Below are 19,736 nucleotides of genomic sequence, written 5' to 3' on the forward strand. Positions count from 1 at the left end.
TTATTTTTATTTATTTATTTATTTTTTCGAGACAGAGTCTCGCTCTGTTGGCCCAGGATGAAGTGCAGTGGCACAATCTCGGCCCACTGCAACCTCTGCTTCCCGGGTTCAAGCGATTCTTCTGCCTCAGCCTCCTGAGTAGCTGGGACTACAGGTGCGCACCACTACACCCAGCTAATTTTTGTATTTTTAGTAGAGACAGGGTTTCACCATGTTGGCCAGGATGGTCTCAATCTCCTGATCTCGTGATCCACCCACCTCAGCCCCCAAAAATGCTGGGATTACAAGCATGAGCCACCGTGCCCAGCCTTATCACGTTTTTTAAAAAGAAGCTTGATCCGGCTGGGTGTGGTAGCTCATGCTTGTAATCCCTGCACTTTGGAAGGCCGAGACGGGTGGATCACCTGAGGTCAAGAGTTTGAGATCAGCCTGTCCAACATGGTGAAACCCCATCTCTACTAAAAATACAAAAATTAGCTGGGTGTGGTGGCATGCACCTGTAATCCCAGCTACTCAGGAGGCTGAGGCAGTAGAATTGCTTGAACCCAGGAGACGGAGGTTGCAGTGAGCTGAGACCATGCCACTGCACTCCAGCCTAGGCGACAGAGCGAGACTCCGTCTCAAACAAAACAAACCAAACAAAACAAAAAAGAAACTTGATCCAAAAGACTGTTCTAGCGGGCCTGAAAGACAGTGTTATAGGACAAAACCAGCACATAAAGACAACAATTTCCATTTCCCAAATGAAAAGCTATTTATAAAATTATCTTTTGTACTTTAGACTTTCCTATACAGATACTTTCTATTGACACTCTTGTCCAAGAAGCTATCCAAGCATTTCATGACAATGAAAAAGTCAGTGAGGTTCTACCAATTCAGAAAAATGATGAAGAAGATGCTCTACCAGTTCTGCAAGAGGAGATTAAAGAAAGCCAGGCAAGTGTGATTCTAGTTTTCTCTTCTGCGCCTAGTACATTAGAGATTTGGAGCTGGATGGAATTTAAAAGGTCTTCTCTAGACCAGAAGTTTCTTCTGTACAGACCCAGAGAGTAAAAGTTTAGGTTCTGCAAAAGTCTAGAAAATAAATATTTAAGTTAAATATTTAGGACAAATTTTAGGCCAAGAGGTAAAATCGAGGATATTATGTGGGTACTTGTATAACAAGAGAGAAAACTCCTGCTTCCCACCAGTTTGTCTGGGTGGACTGTCTTGTGTGATGGGCCCCCTTTGGGTCTAGTAGCCATCAGCTGGAGCCATTCTCCCAAGGAAAGAGCCACTAGCTGGTAAGTGGGGGTGGGTGAAGATTGAATTGTGGAGGTTGGGAGGGTGGCATATGATTGTTTTAGGGGAACTCAAGAAGCCACCAACTCCTGGACTGAGATCCTCCCACTCAGCTTCTGGCAGTTGCTAACATCAAAGTCCCCAGTGTATAGTCAGGGACCAATGCTGGCCCTGGGCAGTGGCTGAGGCAGGTGTTGAATCCCAGCAGGTACAGAGGTAGAGGAGGACTCCTGTCTTTGTCTCCAGTCTCACAGTGGTCGGCTGCTTAAGTGGTGTTCAGAAACTGTATGAAAACTGTCGGCAGGCCTTTGTGGTCTATGAGCTGTAGTATGCTGACACCTGATCTATATTAGTAGATCTCAATTGGGGGATGGCTCTCTGAAAGGTTTACCTGTATCATATTCCCATCAATATTGCATCTCTTTTCATTATTGCATGAAGATTCCTGGGGTGGAGGGGTGAATAGGAAAATGTAGCCCCACCTTCAGAATCCTTGATGTAGTCCAGCTCCTTCATTCTGCAGAGCACACAGTAAAGACCCTAAGCGTGAATTGGTTTGCTTGGAGTCAGAAGGCTTGTCAATAGCTTCTCTATGATTAAGTTTCCAGATTGTAAGTCCACTACTCTTTCCTCTCTCTACCTTATGCTGCCTCTGCAATTGAATAAATTAGCTGATAATCTGATCCAGATCATTTGCATAGCCTGCAAAAATAAATATCATTTAACAATTGATTCTGAAAATAACTGGGAGAAGTTTTCTTTATGGTGGGCTATCTCTTCTTTCATGTTGTAATATCTTTATATTTTAATCAATAAAGTAATAGATAATGTACATTTAAAAAAATTACCTTATGGCTGTGACTGACATCTCTAGGATTGTTCAAGATGGTTTTCCATAAACTTTACCCTTTCCTCAGGTTCCACTATCTTTTCAAAATAGTAGTTGGCATATTTTACATAGTAATTGAAGACCATTCAAAAGACAGATTACATCACAGGTTGCTGTGTATTTCTATAAGTGCAATTATCATCCAATATTGTTTGTTTCTGGAAATAAGAATTTAGAACTGAAACTTTAATCTCCTTTAAAATCATTAATGTTATAGACAAAAAGTATTGTATTTGTTCTCAAACCTTTACTTATAGATATAAAATTAGGAGGATTATTAAAATATAGCAATGGTAAAATCCCTCCCTATGTGTGTTTTCTCTCCAAAGGATCCACAACATGTATTTTCAGCTGGTCCAGTTTCAGATGAAGTATTACCAGAAACAGAAGGTGAAACAATGCTTAGTAAGATCTCAAAACAAATCATCTATTATTTACATTAGAGAGAGAAACAATGAGAGCACATATATGTGAGCACAAACATGCTTTCAGGGAAATAAACGGGAACCAAGGGGAGTTTTACATAGTTGTCTACATATGGCCATTTGACAGAGGGAGCAAGATCACTCTTGCCTACAGCTGGGGATAAGATGAAAATTACAAGGCAATCTTTTCAGCCTCCTTCGAATAGTTGATTAGTTTTGCTGCCATTATGAAAGAATCCAGGATAAATCATCCTCATTCTTCCTGTCTGTGCAAGGAGACAGACAGTCTTTTCTTGTTCTCACCAGTGTGTAAGACTGGGTATATGAGTACAATTGGGGCTTTCTACGTGCTCCTGCTTTGTTTATTGTATTGCAGAAGGCTGTAGGGGCTGGTCTTTTTATCCTGTATGCACAGTGGTTCCTAAATTTATTCTCAGCCTTGGGCACTACCAATACAACTAAGTTTCCCAAACATAACAAAAAGTTATCTCCCTTGGGATCTGGGCTGCAGTCCTTCAGATCCTTTGTAGAACCATTGAAGGAAAACAATTTTAAGTATTAAATATTTTTTCCTGTATGTGCTAGTGAAGTCTTTGTCTTATTAAATAGCTTCCTCGTATTCTAGCATGAAGCCGAGCTCCTCCTGTGCTATCATTATTATTGCCATTACCATTGAACAATGTCCAGGTTTACTATGAGCATACAACACTCCAGAGAGGTTGGACTTGCCTTTCTTAAGAGGACACTATCTGTCCCTTATTCCTGTTATCTGTTTCTTAAGAGATAATTTTAGTTGATTTTTAAAACTATTATAAGTGTTTTATTACATATTCTATTATACATTAGTCTAAGTAATTATAAACAAACTCTTAAAACTTCTGGTTTTTTTTTTTTTTCATAGAATTTAACTTAAAACACCTCTGACTTCTAGAGTCATCTGCTTTTAAGATGTTTATCTGTAACTTGGTAATCCAGGAAAATAAAAGTGTAAAAAAATAACATTTTAACATTTTTTTGAAAAACTTGACCGTCTTCTGAAAAGCGAACCCCGACTGTGTTAAAGTATTCCTAATGATATTTTTATGAGCTCAGATCATGCAGGAAGGGAGCAGGGAAGGGAGGGAGGTAGGGAGGGAGGGGAAACACCAAGACACATAGTGACCAGGATCTTAATGGTGTGAGTGAAGGTAAAAGCTATGCTGTGGTGATTCTATTACTTCCTTCCTCTGAGCATCTCAGGCATAGCTGGATCTGATAACCCTTATGTCCAAAACCATAGATGGTCAAATACTGCTTTGGTTGTTAGGTGTAAATACCAGAAATTTGTTCTTACCACTTTTCCTATTGCTAGGTGCTAATGCTGATAAAACACCAAAAGCTGAAGAAGTCAAATCAAGTGATAGTTTCTTAAAAGTAAGTATTATGATCTAATTTTAGCTACTAACATATTAAAACCTGTCATGATTAATGGTGTTTTGGAGTGTCTTCGAATGCAATGAAATTGCAATGTGCTCTTCTTTGGTTTCAAAGTTAATTTGATGGTATAATATTAGCTCACCTGACTTTACTTAGCATTCTTTGTATTCTCAATATTTATATTGAAAGCAGTGGAAATTATTCTTCACTTTTGCCAGGGTGATAAACTTGTGCTTTTAAAACTTTTAGACAGAGACCAAATTCATTTCATCTTTACCATTTAATTTATGACTTTTATTTCGCTCATACCCTCTTTACCTTTAAATATTTTTTCCAGAATTTATCCTTACTCTTGTTGGTGACTCTTCAGAATTTGTTTATTAATTCCTGAAAAACTGTTTACAACAGTTCACTCACTATTTCTCCTAATGGAAACTAATTGGTCATCAAATAAAATGACCAGACTAAATCAAGTGGAATTTTATCTTTTGTATTATATTTGATTTTTTTATTATGCATCTCATCATGAAAAACAGTTTTATAATATTTTAGGTTTCAAAACTGCTTAAAGATAGAAAAAGTTTTGGAAGGATATACACCAAACTGTAAACAAGATGAGCAATGGGAAGGGAAATGGGTTCAGAAAAAACAGGAAAAGGGGACTTACAATTTTTACTCTGTGAATTTGAAATATGAATTAGCAGAAAGTATGTTTTATATTTACATCTATTGATTTTAAAATCTCACAAATTCCATATTCAATTCAATTCCAAGAGCATACATTGTTTTGTACACTGTTTTAATAACTTGGATATATCAGTGAATACAAAAGACAGGATTTCCTGCCCTTATGGTGTTTACATTCTAATGGAGAGAGACATAATAAACTATGAACATAGAGATAAATATGATATTGAAGATGATGATGAGTGTCATGAGAAAAGGAAACATGGAGTGGAGGAAGGGGAGCAGGAACACAGGCCAAGGGCAACAAAAGAGGCACAGTTGGTCACCTTATGACATCGGGCAGGCCTCCTTGGGAAAGGGAGCCTTAAGCAGATTGAAAGAGGTGAGAGAACCTGCCCACTGGATCTGGGGAAGTGTTCCAGGCCATGAGAATAGTGAGGCAGGAAGGTGCCTGGCCAGCGGGGCCAGAGAGTATTTAGTAAGGGATGAGGTTAGAGACATGGGTGAGAAAGGAAAAGAATCAGGTCAGTCAGGGCCTCAGGCAATTATTAGGACATTTGGAGTAAAAGGGAGAATTTTAGCAGGGTTTGGAATAGAGCCATACCATTTGACATAAAATTCTTACTCTGGTGGCTGAGCTAAGAATAGACTCTAGGGAAGTTCCTGTTTCAGTGATATTGAGTAGCTTGTATTGGACTAACCTATAAATAACAAGTATAAACACTAGGCAAAATATAAAAGATAATTATTTGAGTGCTAAAAGAAGACATCAAACAAGGAAGCAGCAAACAACAGGCAGAAAATCTGTGGAATTTGACCATGGAAAGATGAGAACTTCACTGGTCAAGGGCCATGTTTATATGGGTTTTCCCTAGAGGGCATGCCCCTGTCTGCATGGCATGAGTGGCTAGAGCCCAAGAAGAGAGCTCAATCTTTCTGATTTAAGGTATTAGAGAATTAAGTTTGGGGATGCAAGAGCTGCTGCAACTGAAGAGTACGATCTTGGAAGGGAGGGAGGCTCGAAGGAAGAGCCTCAAATTCTGTGCACACATTTTCCTGAAATGCTTCCCTGACTCCCGAACTGTGCCACATGATCAGTGTCATCATCAGAGAGCCTGGTCATTTAATTAACTTTTCCTCCAAATGTTTGGAATTTGACTTTTAAATTAGCCATCTTCTGTCATTTCTTGTTTATTTTCCCAGCTCACTACACGTGCTCAGCTTGGTGCAAAATCAGAACAGTTGCTGAAGAAAGGAAAGAGCATTCCTGATGTGCTGCTTGTTGACATCATAGTAAATGCTATTAAGTATGTATTGCATTTTTCTTCCTCTCATCTATTTAATATATTCTTTATCACACAAAGATGTATAAAGAATAATACGGATTTTTTGTTGTAATATCTCATACATTTCACTCATCTGTATATGAAAATATACAGCAATGAAAAGGTAGATTTATTTTGTGACTTACGTGCCTATATTCCGCTTCTTCTCCCATACCAAGCTTGACTTCTTTTACCCAGATGTGAATAAAGTCAGGTTCTATTACCTGTGGGGAATTCAATGAGAAATTGAGTAATTGGAAAAGCCAAGGGAAAGACTCAATTGTGTGGTCACAGACCACGGGGAAAAAAGAAGCCAGAGAGACTTGGCTGACAAATGTAATAAAGAGAGAAGGTCAGCAGGCTGGAGAAAACTGTCAAAAAGTCCCCTGAGAAAGAGCTGCAGACAACTTAGAGTAGGTAAGGAAGCAGAACTGAGTAGTGAGATGTGGGATGTGGAAACAGTGAGACCAAGAGAGATGAGGAAGGAGGGCTGAGAGTTCTACTCTGCATCTAGAATGGACTTCCCTTAGTGTTTTCTTAAAAGATGACATTAAAAATTTAAGTTGCTTCTCAATGATGATATATCTAGAAATCAGATCACAGGGCTGCCCAGAGCTAGGAGGGGCCTCACTCTAATAGTTGTAACATTTCCCAGAAGTGGCGATAAAGCATGTTTCAGCCATGGGATTCTTTGCTTCTGCTCCAAATAAAAATGTATATGAAAAGCATCAGATATAAAGCAGTTCTTCACTTTAGTTTCAGTGGAACTGAAACCTCCACACCCCATCGTCAGAACTCCATTACCCTCCTTCCACCAGTACCATCCTCATTGCCCCTGAGGCTCCTCCAGATGACAGTCATCAGTGTGAAATCTTTGATCCAGTCTAAATCTATCGTTTTTCTGTAAGGAAAGGGAGGCACATGACAGTTCAGTGAGGTGCTCCAGTTACATGTCTGGCTAGTGGTATAGCCCCAGCCAAAGTCCAGGTCTCCTGACTCCCCATCATCTCATGTCCTCAAACTACAGCTGAACAAAGGTAGCCCTCACCTCCCCCTTCCTCTGAAGTGGCTTCTGTGACTGTGGGTGGACGAAGGAACTCAAGGAAATTCTCTTTCCCATCTTAGGCCAATGAATCAACAAATTTATTATATGCAGAATGCTTCACCAAGCTCTGGACAAGTTATAAAACCAAAATGAAGTCTTTTCCTGCTCTTAATAACCTAATGAGAGAAATATAGACAGTGACCTGAAGACAGCTTGATACTGTGGAAAGATCATTGGATTTGGGTGATTTTTAGTTTCGTGACTTTGAACAATAATGAAATTTCCTTTAACTTCTGTTTTCCCCCTCCTTCCTTGTTACACTATTGGAAGGATCACATGCAGGCCCCAAAGTAGACTCAGAAACCTTTGGAAAGGGGATTCCATTGTTTAATATAAGTTCTGACAGAAATAAATGAAATTATACCTTTTAATCCAAAGGCCAAAAACACAATTTTGCATAATTTAAGGGCTTAGAAGAACAAAGTCAAAGTTTACGCCTTTCTCACCTTGTTTTCCAGCTGCAAATTAAAACAATAATTATTCAACACCCACTCTCTAAAGAGGACACTGTGCTGAGTGCAAAAACCCAATTGCACTTCAGCGTCCTATAATCTAACTGAGATTTTAAAAGACTCACTTGAATTTGTGTTAAACAGAGAAATATAACCACTTGCATGGCAAAGTGGAAGTCAGAGAAATTCAGATCAGGATACTATGACTCTACACAGGCTTGGGTGGGATAGGAAGAGCTCTCCAGGTTGGCAGTACAAGTATCCAGTACTTGCTAAGCTCTGTGCTGCGTTTTTAAAATGCATCATTTCAGTTCATCCTCACAACTACCTTATGAGGTATGTTATGTTACCCCATTGTATGAATTAGGAAACTGAGGTGCAAAGGAGGAACAGTCTGTGAACACAATATAGAAAATGCAGTTCATACTCATATAACATTGAGGAGATGAGTTTGTTTGAAGTAAATGGTTCAAAATTGTAAGAGATAACAAGTTATAGAGAAATAAAGTGTTGATATGGTTTGACTGTGTCCCCATCCAAATCTCATCTTGAATTGTAGCTCCCATAATTCCCACATGTTGTGGGAGGGACCTGGTGGGAGATGATTGAATCGTGGGGGCGGTGCTTTCCTGTGCTGTTTTCGTGATAGTGAATGGTCTCACAAGATGTGATGTTTTTAAAAACGGGAGTTTCTCTGCACAAGCTCTCGATTTGCCTGCTGCCATCCATGTGACTTTCTCCTCCTTGCCTTCTGCCGTGATTGTGAGGCTTCCCCCACCATGTGAAACTGTAAGACCAATTAAATCTCTTTCTTTGTAAATTGCCCAGTCTTGGGTATGTCTTTATCAGCAGCATGGAAAGGGACTAATACAGGTGTGGCCAGTTAATTTTAATGTGTTAAAGCCTCTGGAATAGATTTGGAGGGCAGCACAGTATCCACAGAAGTATTTTTAAGCAAGGGAGTGATTGTGGCACATCAGTAAACCTAATCTTTTAGCTATGAAGTAATGAAATTCATGCAGTAGGAAGTTATTGTGGAATTGAAAGAAAAAGGAAAGATTCATCATAGTATTTCCAAAGTACTTGTGTCTAACAAAATATTCATGAGTTGTCCTGTTTCAATTTAGTGAGATACCTGTGAATCAAGACTGTATCCTAGATGGTTTTCCAATGACTTTAAACCAAGCACAGCTTCTGGAAGAAGCTCTTACAGGCTGCAATAGAAACCTCACAGAAGTGGAAAGAAAAAAAGCACAAAAATCCACATTGGCTATTGATCCTGCGACTTCCAAAGAAATACCTCTTCCCTCTCCTGCATTTGATTTTGTCATATTATTAGATGTTTCAGATACTTCCTCAATGAGTCGCATGAATGATATTATAGGTAAGCTGGACACCTTTTTTGACACTCTTTTTACAATGAAAACTCTTTGTTCTTTGAATCAGTGAATACTCCCATTTACAATTATAAATGAGTACAAAATAATCCACTTCAGCCTATCAAATAATTATCTAGTTGAGCACAGTTGCCTCTTGCTTTGACTGTTAGCATTCAGCGCTGTGGGCAAAGCCGGGAACTAGTGAATTCCAGTCCAACGGCAAGCATCTCACTGAACCTTTCCATCAACTTGGGAGTTCCCCTGGCATTGGGGTGTTTTTTTGAGACATGCACTTATGGAGGAGTGCTTTGTGGCTGTCTAGCGTGTTTTCGTGGGTCACCCTCTTGAGGGTCATAAACCACATCTGGGCTGTAAGAAAGGATCTGATAACATCCTTTTCTTGGACTGGGTATTAACTCTAAAGAGTGGTATCAGTTGGCTGAAAACTTCACATGATGGGTGAATCTTCCTACAAAAATTCATAGTTTAACTGTTTTTCAACCTTGAAAAATATCCTTTATTCCACAAATTAAATACTTATGGGTAAAAGCACTTATTCTTGAACCTTGGCTTTCTTACATAGAAGGTATTTGACCTTGAGAAAGTTACCTTATTGTTCTAAGCCTTGGTGTCACAACCTATATGATAACATGGCTCATTGTATTGTTATGGGTATTAAATGAGCTCAGAGCTACATGCTTAGGACAGAATCTGGCACATGATAATAAGCGTGTGGTAAATACATCAGGGAAAAATGATGGAAGACTTTGAAATCAACAAATGATTGCCTTCACATCATTTTACTAGAAGGCTGAATATTGCCTCTTGGACCCTTGGGGGTACCTGATTCTATAGGGGTCTGTGCCTCTCACTGGTTTTGACTCAATTCTTCTATAACTCTGTAAATAGTAGGAAATTGATAGTAATGCAAATGATTCGTGTTCTTAGAAATGAAAATAAATTTGGTTCAGCTGAGACAATTTCCACACTGTAAAAAAGATGATTTGAAATACTCGAGCCCAGGAGTTTGAGATCAGCCTAGGAAACGTGACAAGGCCCTGTCTCTACAAAAAATAAAAATATTAGCCCAACATGGTGGCACATGTCTGTGATCCTAGCTACATGGGAGGCTGAGGTGGGAGGATCACTTGAGCCCAGGAATTCAAGGCTGCAGTGAGTCATGATCACACCACAGCACTTCAACCTGGGTAACAGAGTGAGACCCTGTCTCCAAAAAAATTGCATTGCTCTGTAGATAATAGCCAGAATTTAGTGGGGAGAGCAAAGGAATAAGTGTTTAGAAGCAGCAGCTAATGGAGAAGAAGAAAGCCTGGGAGAGTAGTGTCTCATAAGCCAAGGGAGGACAAATCTTCAAGGCAAATGTGTCATCCAATCCCCCTTCCAGACCAGCAGGATCCTGGGCTGAGTGGGAGCCTAGCCACTAGGGTTGGGTGCAACATGCAGTTCTGCAGTGCTCGGGGTCTATGGAGGAACCTGAAGAACATCTTCACAGAGAAACACACTACATCCAAAGCCACGTGGGCTACAAAGTCCTGCCAGGGCTGGGCTGAGGTAAATGATCCAGACTCAAAGCCAATGGGCAGGAGACTGGGGGATGTAAGGAGGGGGAATGGCCATTGTGAGAGTAAAAGGCTGCATTGGAATGGAAGAGGAGGTGACTGCCTCCGCTGTTTAGCCATTGGTCAGCCTGAGACAGAACAGTAATGTTCACATCTGGTGAGAGGTACAGATAGGTTTTGAGTTCAGGCATCAAATACTGACCCTTTGTGGCTAATGGTGACTGAAAAAGAACAGGAAGGGGCTTCTGGGACCGATAATGTTTGTATATCTGGGTGCTGACTGTCTTCAGTTCATTAATTCGAGCAGATGCATATTAGTGTATGCGTTTTTTGGCAAGTATAATGCAACAAAGACTATAAAAATTAAAAAGAAATCCAGAACCTGGAGTCACATTGCCTGGAATCAAATCCCTTCTCTACCATTTATGAACTGTGCAATTTGGAGCCAATTATAGAATCTCAATCCCAATTACAAGTTTTTGTTGAGTATAAAATGACATAATATATGTAACAGCTTTTAAGAATTGTACGCTAAATTTTACCTATAAGTACTACAGAGAAGCCAAAATAAGGACTGAAATGTGTCCTTTGGCATGTTTGGTGACTGGTATGCGAGCCATTTCATGGAGGGTGGGAGAGAGAAGGAAGGATTGCAGTGTATTGAGGTGTGAGTGGGAGAGACAGAGATAGAGAGTGAGTGGAGATAACTCCCAAGAAGTTTATCTCTGAAAGAAAAAAAAAGAGCCATGGTCACAGGATATTTGTTACTTTTTTATTTTTTTTTTTATTCTCTCTTTATTTATTTTAGAAAAGGGTCTCTCTATATATATATGAAAGAGCTCAACTGATTTTTTTTAGCTAGGGAATTAGTAAGAATAAAGGTTGTGTATTTTTATTCAAAGATGCCTACCAGCAAAAGTCTTAAAAAAATGATATCATTTAAGGCTGGTACAGTAAAGGACACAGAAACTGGAGTTGTTAAGAGGCAGGGAGAACTTGAAGTGTTCATTCATGCAGTTTAGGTTTGCTAGAAAGCATAAAGTGAAGTCAGGATAATGCAGATAAATTTGGAAAAAAGGAGGTAGGAATTTAGGGACTGGATGCTAGTGAAGAGATTCATCAACTATACAGGAGTGCTGGAAAGTTTGTGGTAGGAGTATAGGTCTTTAGGATTGCAAAGATGGAGCCATTCAGGGTGATCACAAAATTCATTGGCCATGGTACAGAGTACCACGAGTGAAGGGAAGGGGAAGGAGCACTGCCTGGGGCTTGGGGGTTGGGAGGTTGGAGAGAGAGGAATGCTGATCCATGCACTGAAGTCCTGACAGCAGCGAGGTAGCGACCATGAGATGGTGCATGGGCATCTCCCAATAAGAGCACTCCCACAGTTTTCTTCAGTCACCTATTCCAATGTGATCCTTGGGTTTTATGAATCATTTTAAAGCATCATTCTGTATTCTAAATTCATTTCACCTTGTTCTGTTATGAATGGAGATGAAGAACAACTGATTACTATATCCTGTGAGGGTTCTTCATTTGCTCGAACTCTATTAATTTGCTATTCAATGTTCTCTTGCATTGAGTAATTCTAATTTCTTTTAATCTAGTTCAAGGCTTTCTTTCCTCTTTATGATTTTTTATTTATTCTAAATTGGTAAGTATTCTGGACTTTGTACCATTAATCCAGAATAGGACTCAATCAGAGCTGTTGAGATTGGTTTTTTTGTTTGTTTGTTTTTGGTCTCTTTGGGTCTATTCCTTTATGTCTATTCTACAGGGAGATCATAAATTCTAGAAAGAAACAATAATTTTATTGTATTGCATATAATTTCAAGAAATAATTTGTATGCATATTTGACGTTCCAGCCACCTTGTTCTTTCATCTTAATTTTTACATCACTGTGTTAATTTTTCCTATTCTTTTCAAGTTAGTTATTCATGATGACCCATCATTTTTCATTCTCATCTATCATAGACAATCCTGAGATCCTCTACACTGAAACTACAGCTTCTCTTTAATGTTTACTTATTTTCCCCAATTTCCAAGAAAACAATCGAATTCTTATCTCAAAACTATACTCTTTCAACATCTTTTAAAATATTTTTAAGTAACACTGGACCAAATACAGGACCGTATCTGTTTGGCATCTTTCACCAGTATATTTTAGCAGTAAGTAGCAACTTTGGTTTTGAAAATTATCTAATTAAATAAATTTTATACCATAGCTGAAGAATTGTCCTATAAAACTGCTCACGAAGATATCAGTCAACGTGTAGCTGCTGAAAACCAAGATAAGGATGGAGACCAAAATTTAAGAGACCAGATACAACATAGGTTAGTTTTTAACTAAATGCTCTGCTTCTTGTTTCATGCTTTTTAAATAGATTGACAACAACTTTGGAATCATCAGATCTAGAAGAATATCTATTTCTTAGCATTCAATCTTTTACAGGTAAAAGAAGACTAAGTAGTTTTGACAATAAGTGAAATATTTATGTGCTAGCTTTCATATTTAGAGGGCAAGTCATTAGTCTGAAAAAAAGAAGAATTAAATCAGGCAATACTTCCCTTTACGGTTACATGCACTTATAAGTTAATTATATGGAATCCTGATTCAGCACTCATTAAGGAAATGCTGGTGACGATGGTGGAACTTCAAAAAGTTAGTCATCGGAGTGTAAACTACTTCTATTTTGCTAAAATAAAATTATTCTTCTGGTTGTGTGCAATTTGCCATTGCAAAGGGAAATTTAGACAAAATTATACAATTTTATGAAACCCTGAAAAGTTTAACAATATGAAATGAACCAGGGAAGAGTAATTTGAGCTACATTAAGGCTGTCTACTCTCCAGGAAGAAAAAAACAGTTTCAAGAGTTATTCCAATAACACTTCTGAGTAAAATATATAAGTCTAAACCATCTATACTTACTCAAAGATCTCTTCAATTTCTATCTCTGAGAAAAAAATAGATGGCCTAGGTGCATCAGGCTGTAGCTACCATCCGAAGAGAGTTCAGAGTTATTCTACTATGAGCACAGATGATGTTTTCTTAGATTTTCACTTAGAGACCTGTACTCCTACTAAAAGTTTTCCTGAATCAACAACATTTTCCTCTTTTACTCTCATACATCTCAAAAAATATGTCTTGATGACATTAAGTAATTTCTTCTTTAATCTAAAATAAATAACATTGTTTCTTTTTCAGATACAATTATATTGGCAGCCTGTCTTTTCATTACGCATGTCGGATAATTTATGCTTAATGTCATTCTAATCTTTTGATCAGTATGAGATATTCATATCATATTTTGATTTTGCAGAATTATAGGCTTCTTGGACAACTGGCCTTTATTGGAGCAATGGTTTTCAGAGCCAGAAAATATTTTGATAAAAATCAATGCTGAAATAGATAAGGAATCTTTATGTGAAAAAGTAAAAGAAATTCTTACGACTGAAATAGCAAAAAAAAAGAATAAAGGTATTTACATTTGTTTATAGTTTTGAGTTTAGGCAACTAAAATGTGTGGTTTTTAATGAGTTTGGTAGGAAATGAAGATGTGATTGAAAAGTTCTTTCTTATCTTTGGATTTATACTATCGACAAATATATTCTGCCTCTGGCTTTAGCTTTCTGTTGTATATGTTTCCGAATAAAAGATTTTTTCTCTCTCTTATTTTAATCAAAAAGAGACCATCTCTCTGAAAGCATTGTTTTCACATAAAAAAAAAACAAGAAAAAAACCCAGCAGAGTTAAATTTAAATGTTAATTCACATTTTATTCTCTGGATATTTGTAATCTTTATTTGTTAATTAGATATTTTTAAGTAAAAAATAATGAACATTAGAGATATTGTAGATAAAGGTAAAGGTTTTACTTTGTTAGCTTTAGCATTATAAAGAAACCATGTGAATTCTTTTAGGATGGACACACTAGGCAATTTTTTCTCACATCCACCTATTTTGTTATAAGTTTATTTATTATTATTAAATTGATTATTAATTATATATTAACTTGCTTTCATGTTTTATCTTACCCACATAAAACTGCACAGATCGCCTTCCTATTTCATTCAACCAATGATAATTGCCCACTAACTTTTTATACTATTATTGAAGCTTTTTATTGAAAGAGATTTTAACTTCAGTCCAATATCATATTTCCATTGGGATTTTGCCTTGAGACAAGATTTGAAAAATAAATCTTTCTTTTTTGTTTATCAATTACCCCAAATTATATTGGCAACTACTGTTTCTTAGTATAATAAAAAATGGTCAAAGTTAATAGTGTCAAAAGGATTCTAAAGTTGCCTTGATAGCATACTGTCTCCTGTCGCTAAATTTGTGACCTAACTCCCATAATGTAACAGTTAACTAACATTAAAATTGCCCATAGACATAAACCACAATCACCATGGAAATCCAGGAGCTCATACTTAGAAAGACAAACTCCTACATCTAAATGCCTACTCCAAAAACTACCAGCATGAACCTTTCAAACAAAAAATAATCATATACTATTTTAAGAGGCTTAACATGTCATTTGACAGAATAGCAATCTTACAGAGTCTTGGTTGGGAAGCAAAAACAAACCAATTCTAACTCATGAAGGCTTGAAGCTACGGGTTAGAATCAGTTTGTTTTTGCCAACTATTAGACTCAACTTCAACATTTTCCTAAAGAGTTTGCATTCTAATATTCACTGACTACATTAATAGACTCAGTTATCACTTAAGATTTATATTTCAAACAGGTAATTAACAAATGTTTAATAATTAAAACAATAAACATTAACCTAGCCCAGTGCTCTGTATTAAACTTTCCGACTAAGTTAAAAAACTAAAAGAATGTGGTACTTCTATATTCTGACCACAATATACTGTTAAGTAGGGAAAAGCAGGTTACATATGAAATAGTCTCTTTTAAGGAAAGTGTACATAATTATGTATTAAATACATCTGCACAGAAGAGTCTGGCAGCATATATATACTTGATGATGGGGAAGGAGATAGGACTTAAAGAGACTTAACAGGCAATTCCCTTTTCTACTTGTCTTAATTCTTGGATGTTTAAAGCAATAATTATGAATAACTTTAAAAGTCAGAACTAAAACCCCTAATTTCCACTTCAAAAGAACATCTAATAGAATGAAGCCTCCTAGCTTGCTGAATTGAAAAGAGTAATCTAAGGGTGGAGTAAGCACATGTAAAGAGAAATAGTCATGCAAGAACATAGGCAATCGTCGCCAGTGGTACATTGAGTAGAGCTGTGGGCCTCTGCAGTGTGAAGGGATGGAAAGACTGGGCAGTCAGGGAGGGTGTGCCAGGAAAGGTGAAACTGCATCATGCAAGGCAAAGGGTCATCACAATGATGGGAGCCTAGAAAGACTCCAGTCAGGCATGCTCCATCCCTCCAGGCATCTGGGCTAACCATCTCCCCTGACTGGAACACTCTTTCACCAGAAATACACAAGGCTCACTCCCTGGCTTGCTTCATGTCTTTGCTCAGATGTCACCTTATGGTTGGGCATACTCACCCTGGCAGTCTATCTAAAACTTAAGAAGCTGCCCACAACACTTTGATCTCCCTTACTCTGTTCTATTTTTTTTCCATAGCACTTATCACCATCTTAACTCTTGTATAAATTAACTTATTCATCATATTTATGGTTTGTTTCCTACCACTAGAACGTAAGCTTCATAAGGCCATTGATTTTTCTGTTTTGTTTTACTGTTGTATCTCCAGCAATCAGAACTATTGTTTGCAATATTATTATAATTATTATCATTAGAAATAGTAGTAGTTTTACTTTATTCTTGTCATCCTTCCTTTTCTTCAAGGCATAATTCAGGTTCAATAAATGGTTGTTGCAGGAATGAATGAATTGCTAAGGCTTAATTGAAGATGTATGTACTGTGCAGTATTCTAAGTGCTTTGTATTCACTTTTTAAAGTTAGTGATACACATTTCTTTCCCCTTCCATTTCCTCCTCACCCCACCTCTTGTATTACATTGCCCTTTACCGTCTTTTTACACTTGTTCACTTTGCTTTCCCACTGGACGTTTTCAAACAATCTTTTATTTTTCTCCTCATCTTTATTAGCTACTTCTAGATTATCACTTTTACATTTGACACCACTTGCTAACCCCTTATACCTGCTCCGTACACACAAATACACATATATTCCTCATCACCCCCATGCCAACCACCACCATCACCACTCCTACCATCACCACTACCACACCACCACCATCACTACCACCATCCCCACCACAGACTTCACCACCTCTACCTCCACCACCATCACCTCTACCAGCACCTCCACCACCACTACCACCAGCACCATCACCACCTCTACCTCCATCACCATCACCACCACTACCCATCAACATTACCACCACTGCCATCAAAAGGCAAGGGCAACCATATTTCTGACAAGGGAGAGAAGACTTGAAATCTTAGCTTTAAGGACTAGATGATTTAAGGGAAAGCCCTAAAGCATGAATTAGCTTTAAATACGTAAGATTGTTTTATATTAATTTAGATTTCTCTTAGTTCAAGTGAAATAGTAGATTTCTAGAGTCTCTAATGAAGGTCAATTCTTATCATCCTTTTGAAGTTGAGAAGAAATTAGAAGAAAAGGAAGCTGAGAAAAAAGCAGCAGCTTCCCTGGCTGAGCTTCCACTTCCTACACCTCCTCCTGCTCCTCCTCCTGAACCAGAAAAAGAGAAGGAAATTCATCAAAGCCATGTGGCTTCAAAAACTCCTACTGCAAAAGGAAAACCTCAATCAGGTGATTGACAGAATGATTTATAATCCTGTTTTCAGTTTCTTATTTTTACTCAGTAAAGAATTATAAATTATAGTCTATCTACATTCAGACTTTGGGCAACTTCAATCATATGAAACAAGGCTTTACACTCAGATGGAAGTGGAAAAGCCCTCGGAGTAGCTAAAAGCGTAGTTGTTACAAAGCCCAACTTCTTTGCCATGTAGGAGGAGACATGGAGTCATCACACCTAGGTCTACTGATTAGAGTAAGACCACAGACGAGAAGAGGAAAAGGCACAGAGTAACAGGTAACTTCAGGCAGATCAAGAGGATACACGTCTGTGTGCTGAACTATAGAGTTACATTTATGTAATGAGTAAGAACATCTTAATAAAATAAGAATGAGTATAGCTGGTTTTCCACCAGAATAAGGGAACAAATTAACAGCAACCATTAGAACTAGAATTTATATGTAATTGTAAATCTTCAGGACTATGTGATTATAAAAGTATAGAAACAAGCTCCTGCCATCTCAGTAAACATATATTTATGGACACAGAGATAAAGAGCCTAGATAGAGAACACTTTTAGTTTAAGTTTGTTCTAGATCCTTAACCGCTATGGACCATAAGTCTAGCATTAAGTGGCAGACAATGAATATAATGACAAAAGTGAAGTGCTTAATTGTTGTAATGCATGATATTGGTAGAGTGTCAGTATCCATTTGTGTGTGTATATAAAACAAATGAGGCTCTGGTTTCTAGTTTCAGCTTTATAAATGGCTGACTGTGCAGTTACACCATGTCTACCTAAGTATCTTTGATACTGTGTCATGACCACATTTCTAAACTCTATAGTCTTTCTGCCTCACGGAGATTTGAGATAGGTCTTAATTTTTAAAATTAAACTTATTCATATTAAACAAAGACATATGAAGACTTTAGTAAGATATATTATGATATATTAAAGACCATTCTGCTCCAGGAAATTAGAAATTAACTACAGGCAAAATACACACATCCTAAAAAATGTTTTTATCATGTCAACAATAAAACACAAAGACATGAATTAAACATACACCCTTTTCCCGCTGTCTCATTAGGAAATTAAAAAACAATTCAGAGGTCTGGAGGAAAATGGAAATATTTAAAATGCTTTTTAGAACTGGGGAAGACAGGCCAAGCATGGTGGCTCATCCCTGTAATCCCAGCACTTTGGGAGGCTGAGGTGGGCAGATCACCAGAAATCAGGAGTTCGAGACCCCGCTGGCCAACAGGGCAAAACCCATCTCTACCAAAAATACAAAAATTAGCTGGGCGTGGTGGCAGGCACCTGTAATCCCAGCTGCTTGGGAGGCTGAGGCAGGAGAATTGCTTGAACCTGAGAGGCGGAGGTTGCAGTGAGCCGAGATTGCCCCACTGCACTCTAGCCTGGGGGATAGAGTGAAACTCTACCTCCAAAAAAAAGAAAAGAAAAATAACTGAGGAAGACAGTTTTCACAGTGGGTCAGGTGAGCCTAGAATTATCGAATATCGTCCTTTAACCTATAGCTATGACTCTAGGTTAAAGCTCCTCCTCAGCTTGCTCCAGTCAAGAGTATCTATGTATTTGAGCCATTTCCTGAAACCAGACTCTAGTGTTTCTGATCAGACCAGCTCAGTCTTTAAGTTTCTGAAGTTTGTTTGCTATTTTATAATTATATTCTTGAATACTGTGCATTGAAGAAATAATAAATCTATTGTTGCTTTAAAGAGTGGTTGTACTTGTCTTTTTTTCCCCACCAAGGTCAAGGCTAGTGCCTGATATTTAAGAATGTTTAGAAAGGTTAATCTCGAGAGTCTTAATTGCTGCCACCCAACCTTACTGTGATGGACATTGATAGGGCAGGAGAGCAGACAGCACTGCCCCTGCAGCTCAGGGAAGCTTGGTTAGGCAATTTGAGAGAGGAACATTTATCACAGGTTTTTAAAATGTTTTGTGTAAATAATTTACAAATTTTCCAAAATGGAACATTTTTAGAACTGAAAGCCTGAGGCTTCTGAACATGCCCTACTCAAACATCTAATTACAATCTTCAGCAGAAGTTGAGATGAAAAGAGGAATTATTCACTAAAAAACCAAATGAAATTTTAAAAAAGGGCTAGAGTAGGCATAGTACATTGAATCCTATTTTGTTATTTTGTTAAAAAATTTTGTTATTTTGTTAAAATTTTGTTAAAAAATTGTTATTTTGTTATTTTGTTAAAAATTTTGTGATTTTTGTTAAAAAATTGTTCTATATTTTATTCAGTTCCATATTTTATATCTCCTTCCATTATACTTGGGATTAAATTTGAAAAACTCCATAGTTATGTTCCATTGAAGGGTCTATTATCAAATGCAGTATCAATTGTCACTATTTAATTGAGAATTAGTTCTTAGTATG

General features: G+C 37.6%; 1 protein-coding gene across 20 annotated transcripts in view; it reads left to right on the forward strand.

Annotated features, from left to right (window-relative positions):
* The window catches only part of SPEF2 (sperm flagellar 2), a 196,749-nt gene that overhangs the window by 73,926 nt on the left and 103,087 nt on the right, over positions 1 to 19,736 (forward strand). For 15 of the 20 annotated variants that reach the window (XR_925655.3, XM_011514136.4, NM_024867.4 and 12 more), the window contains 8 exons: positions 782 to 936; positions 2,500 to 2,575; positions 3,947 to 4,008; positions 5,902 to 6,005; positions 8,708 to 8,964; positions 12,766 to 12,874; positions 13,863 to 14,020; positions 17,160 to 17,333. Coding sequence is in view for 19 of the 20 variants with exons in the window: in XM_011514136.4 (XP_011512438.1) it covers positions 782 to 936; positions 2,500 to 2,575; positions 3,947 to 4,008; positions 5,902 to 6,005; positions 8,708 to 8,964; positions 12,766 to 12,874; positions 13,863 to 14,020; positions 17,160 to 17,333 (1,095 nt within the window). In the remaining variant the exon portion in view is untranslated. Of the gene's footprint in view, positions 1 to 781; positions 937 to 2,499; positions 2,576 to 3,946; positions 4,009 to 5,901; positions 6,006 to 8,707; positions 8,965 to 12,765; positions 12,875 to 13,862; positions 14,021 to 17,159; positions 17,334 to 17,536; positions 19,063 to 19,736 lie in introns of those variants that run through there. The other 5 variants (XM_011514137.4, XM_005248377.5, XM_017009880.3 and 2 more) reach the window with 3 other exon arrangements.

Source organism: Homo sapiens, chromosome 5 (assembly GCF_000001405.40).
Source record: "Homo sapiens chromosome 5, GRCh38.p14 Primary Assembly".
Taxonomy (NCBI): domain Eukaryota; kingdom Metazoa; phylum Chordata; class Mammalia; order Primates; family Hominidae; genus Homo; species Homo sapiens.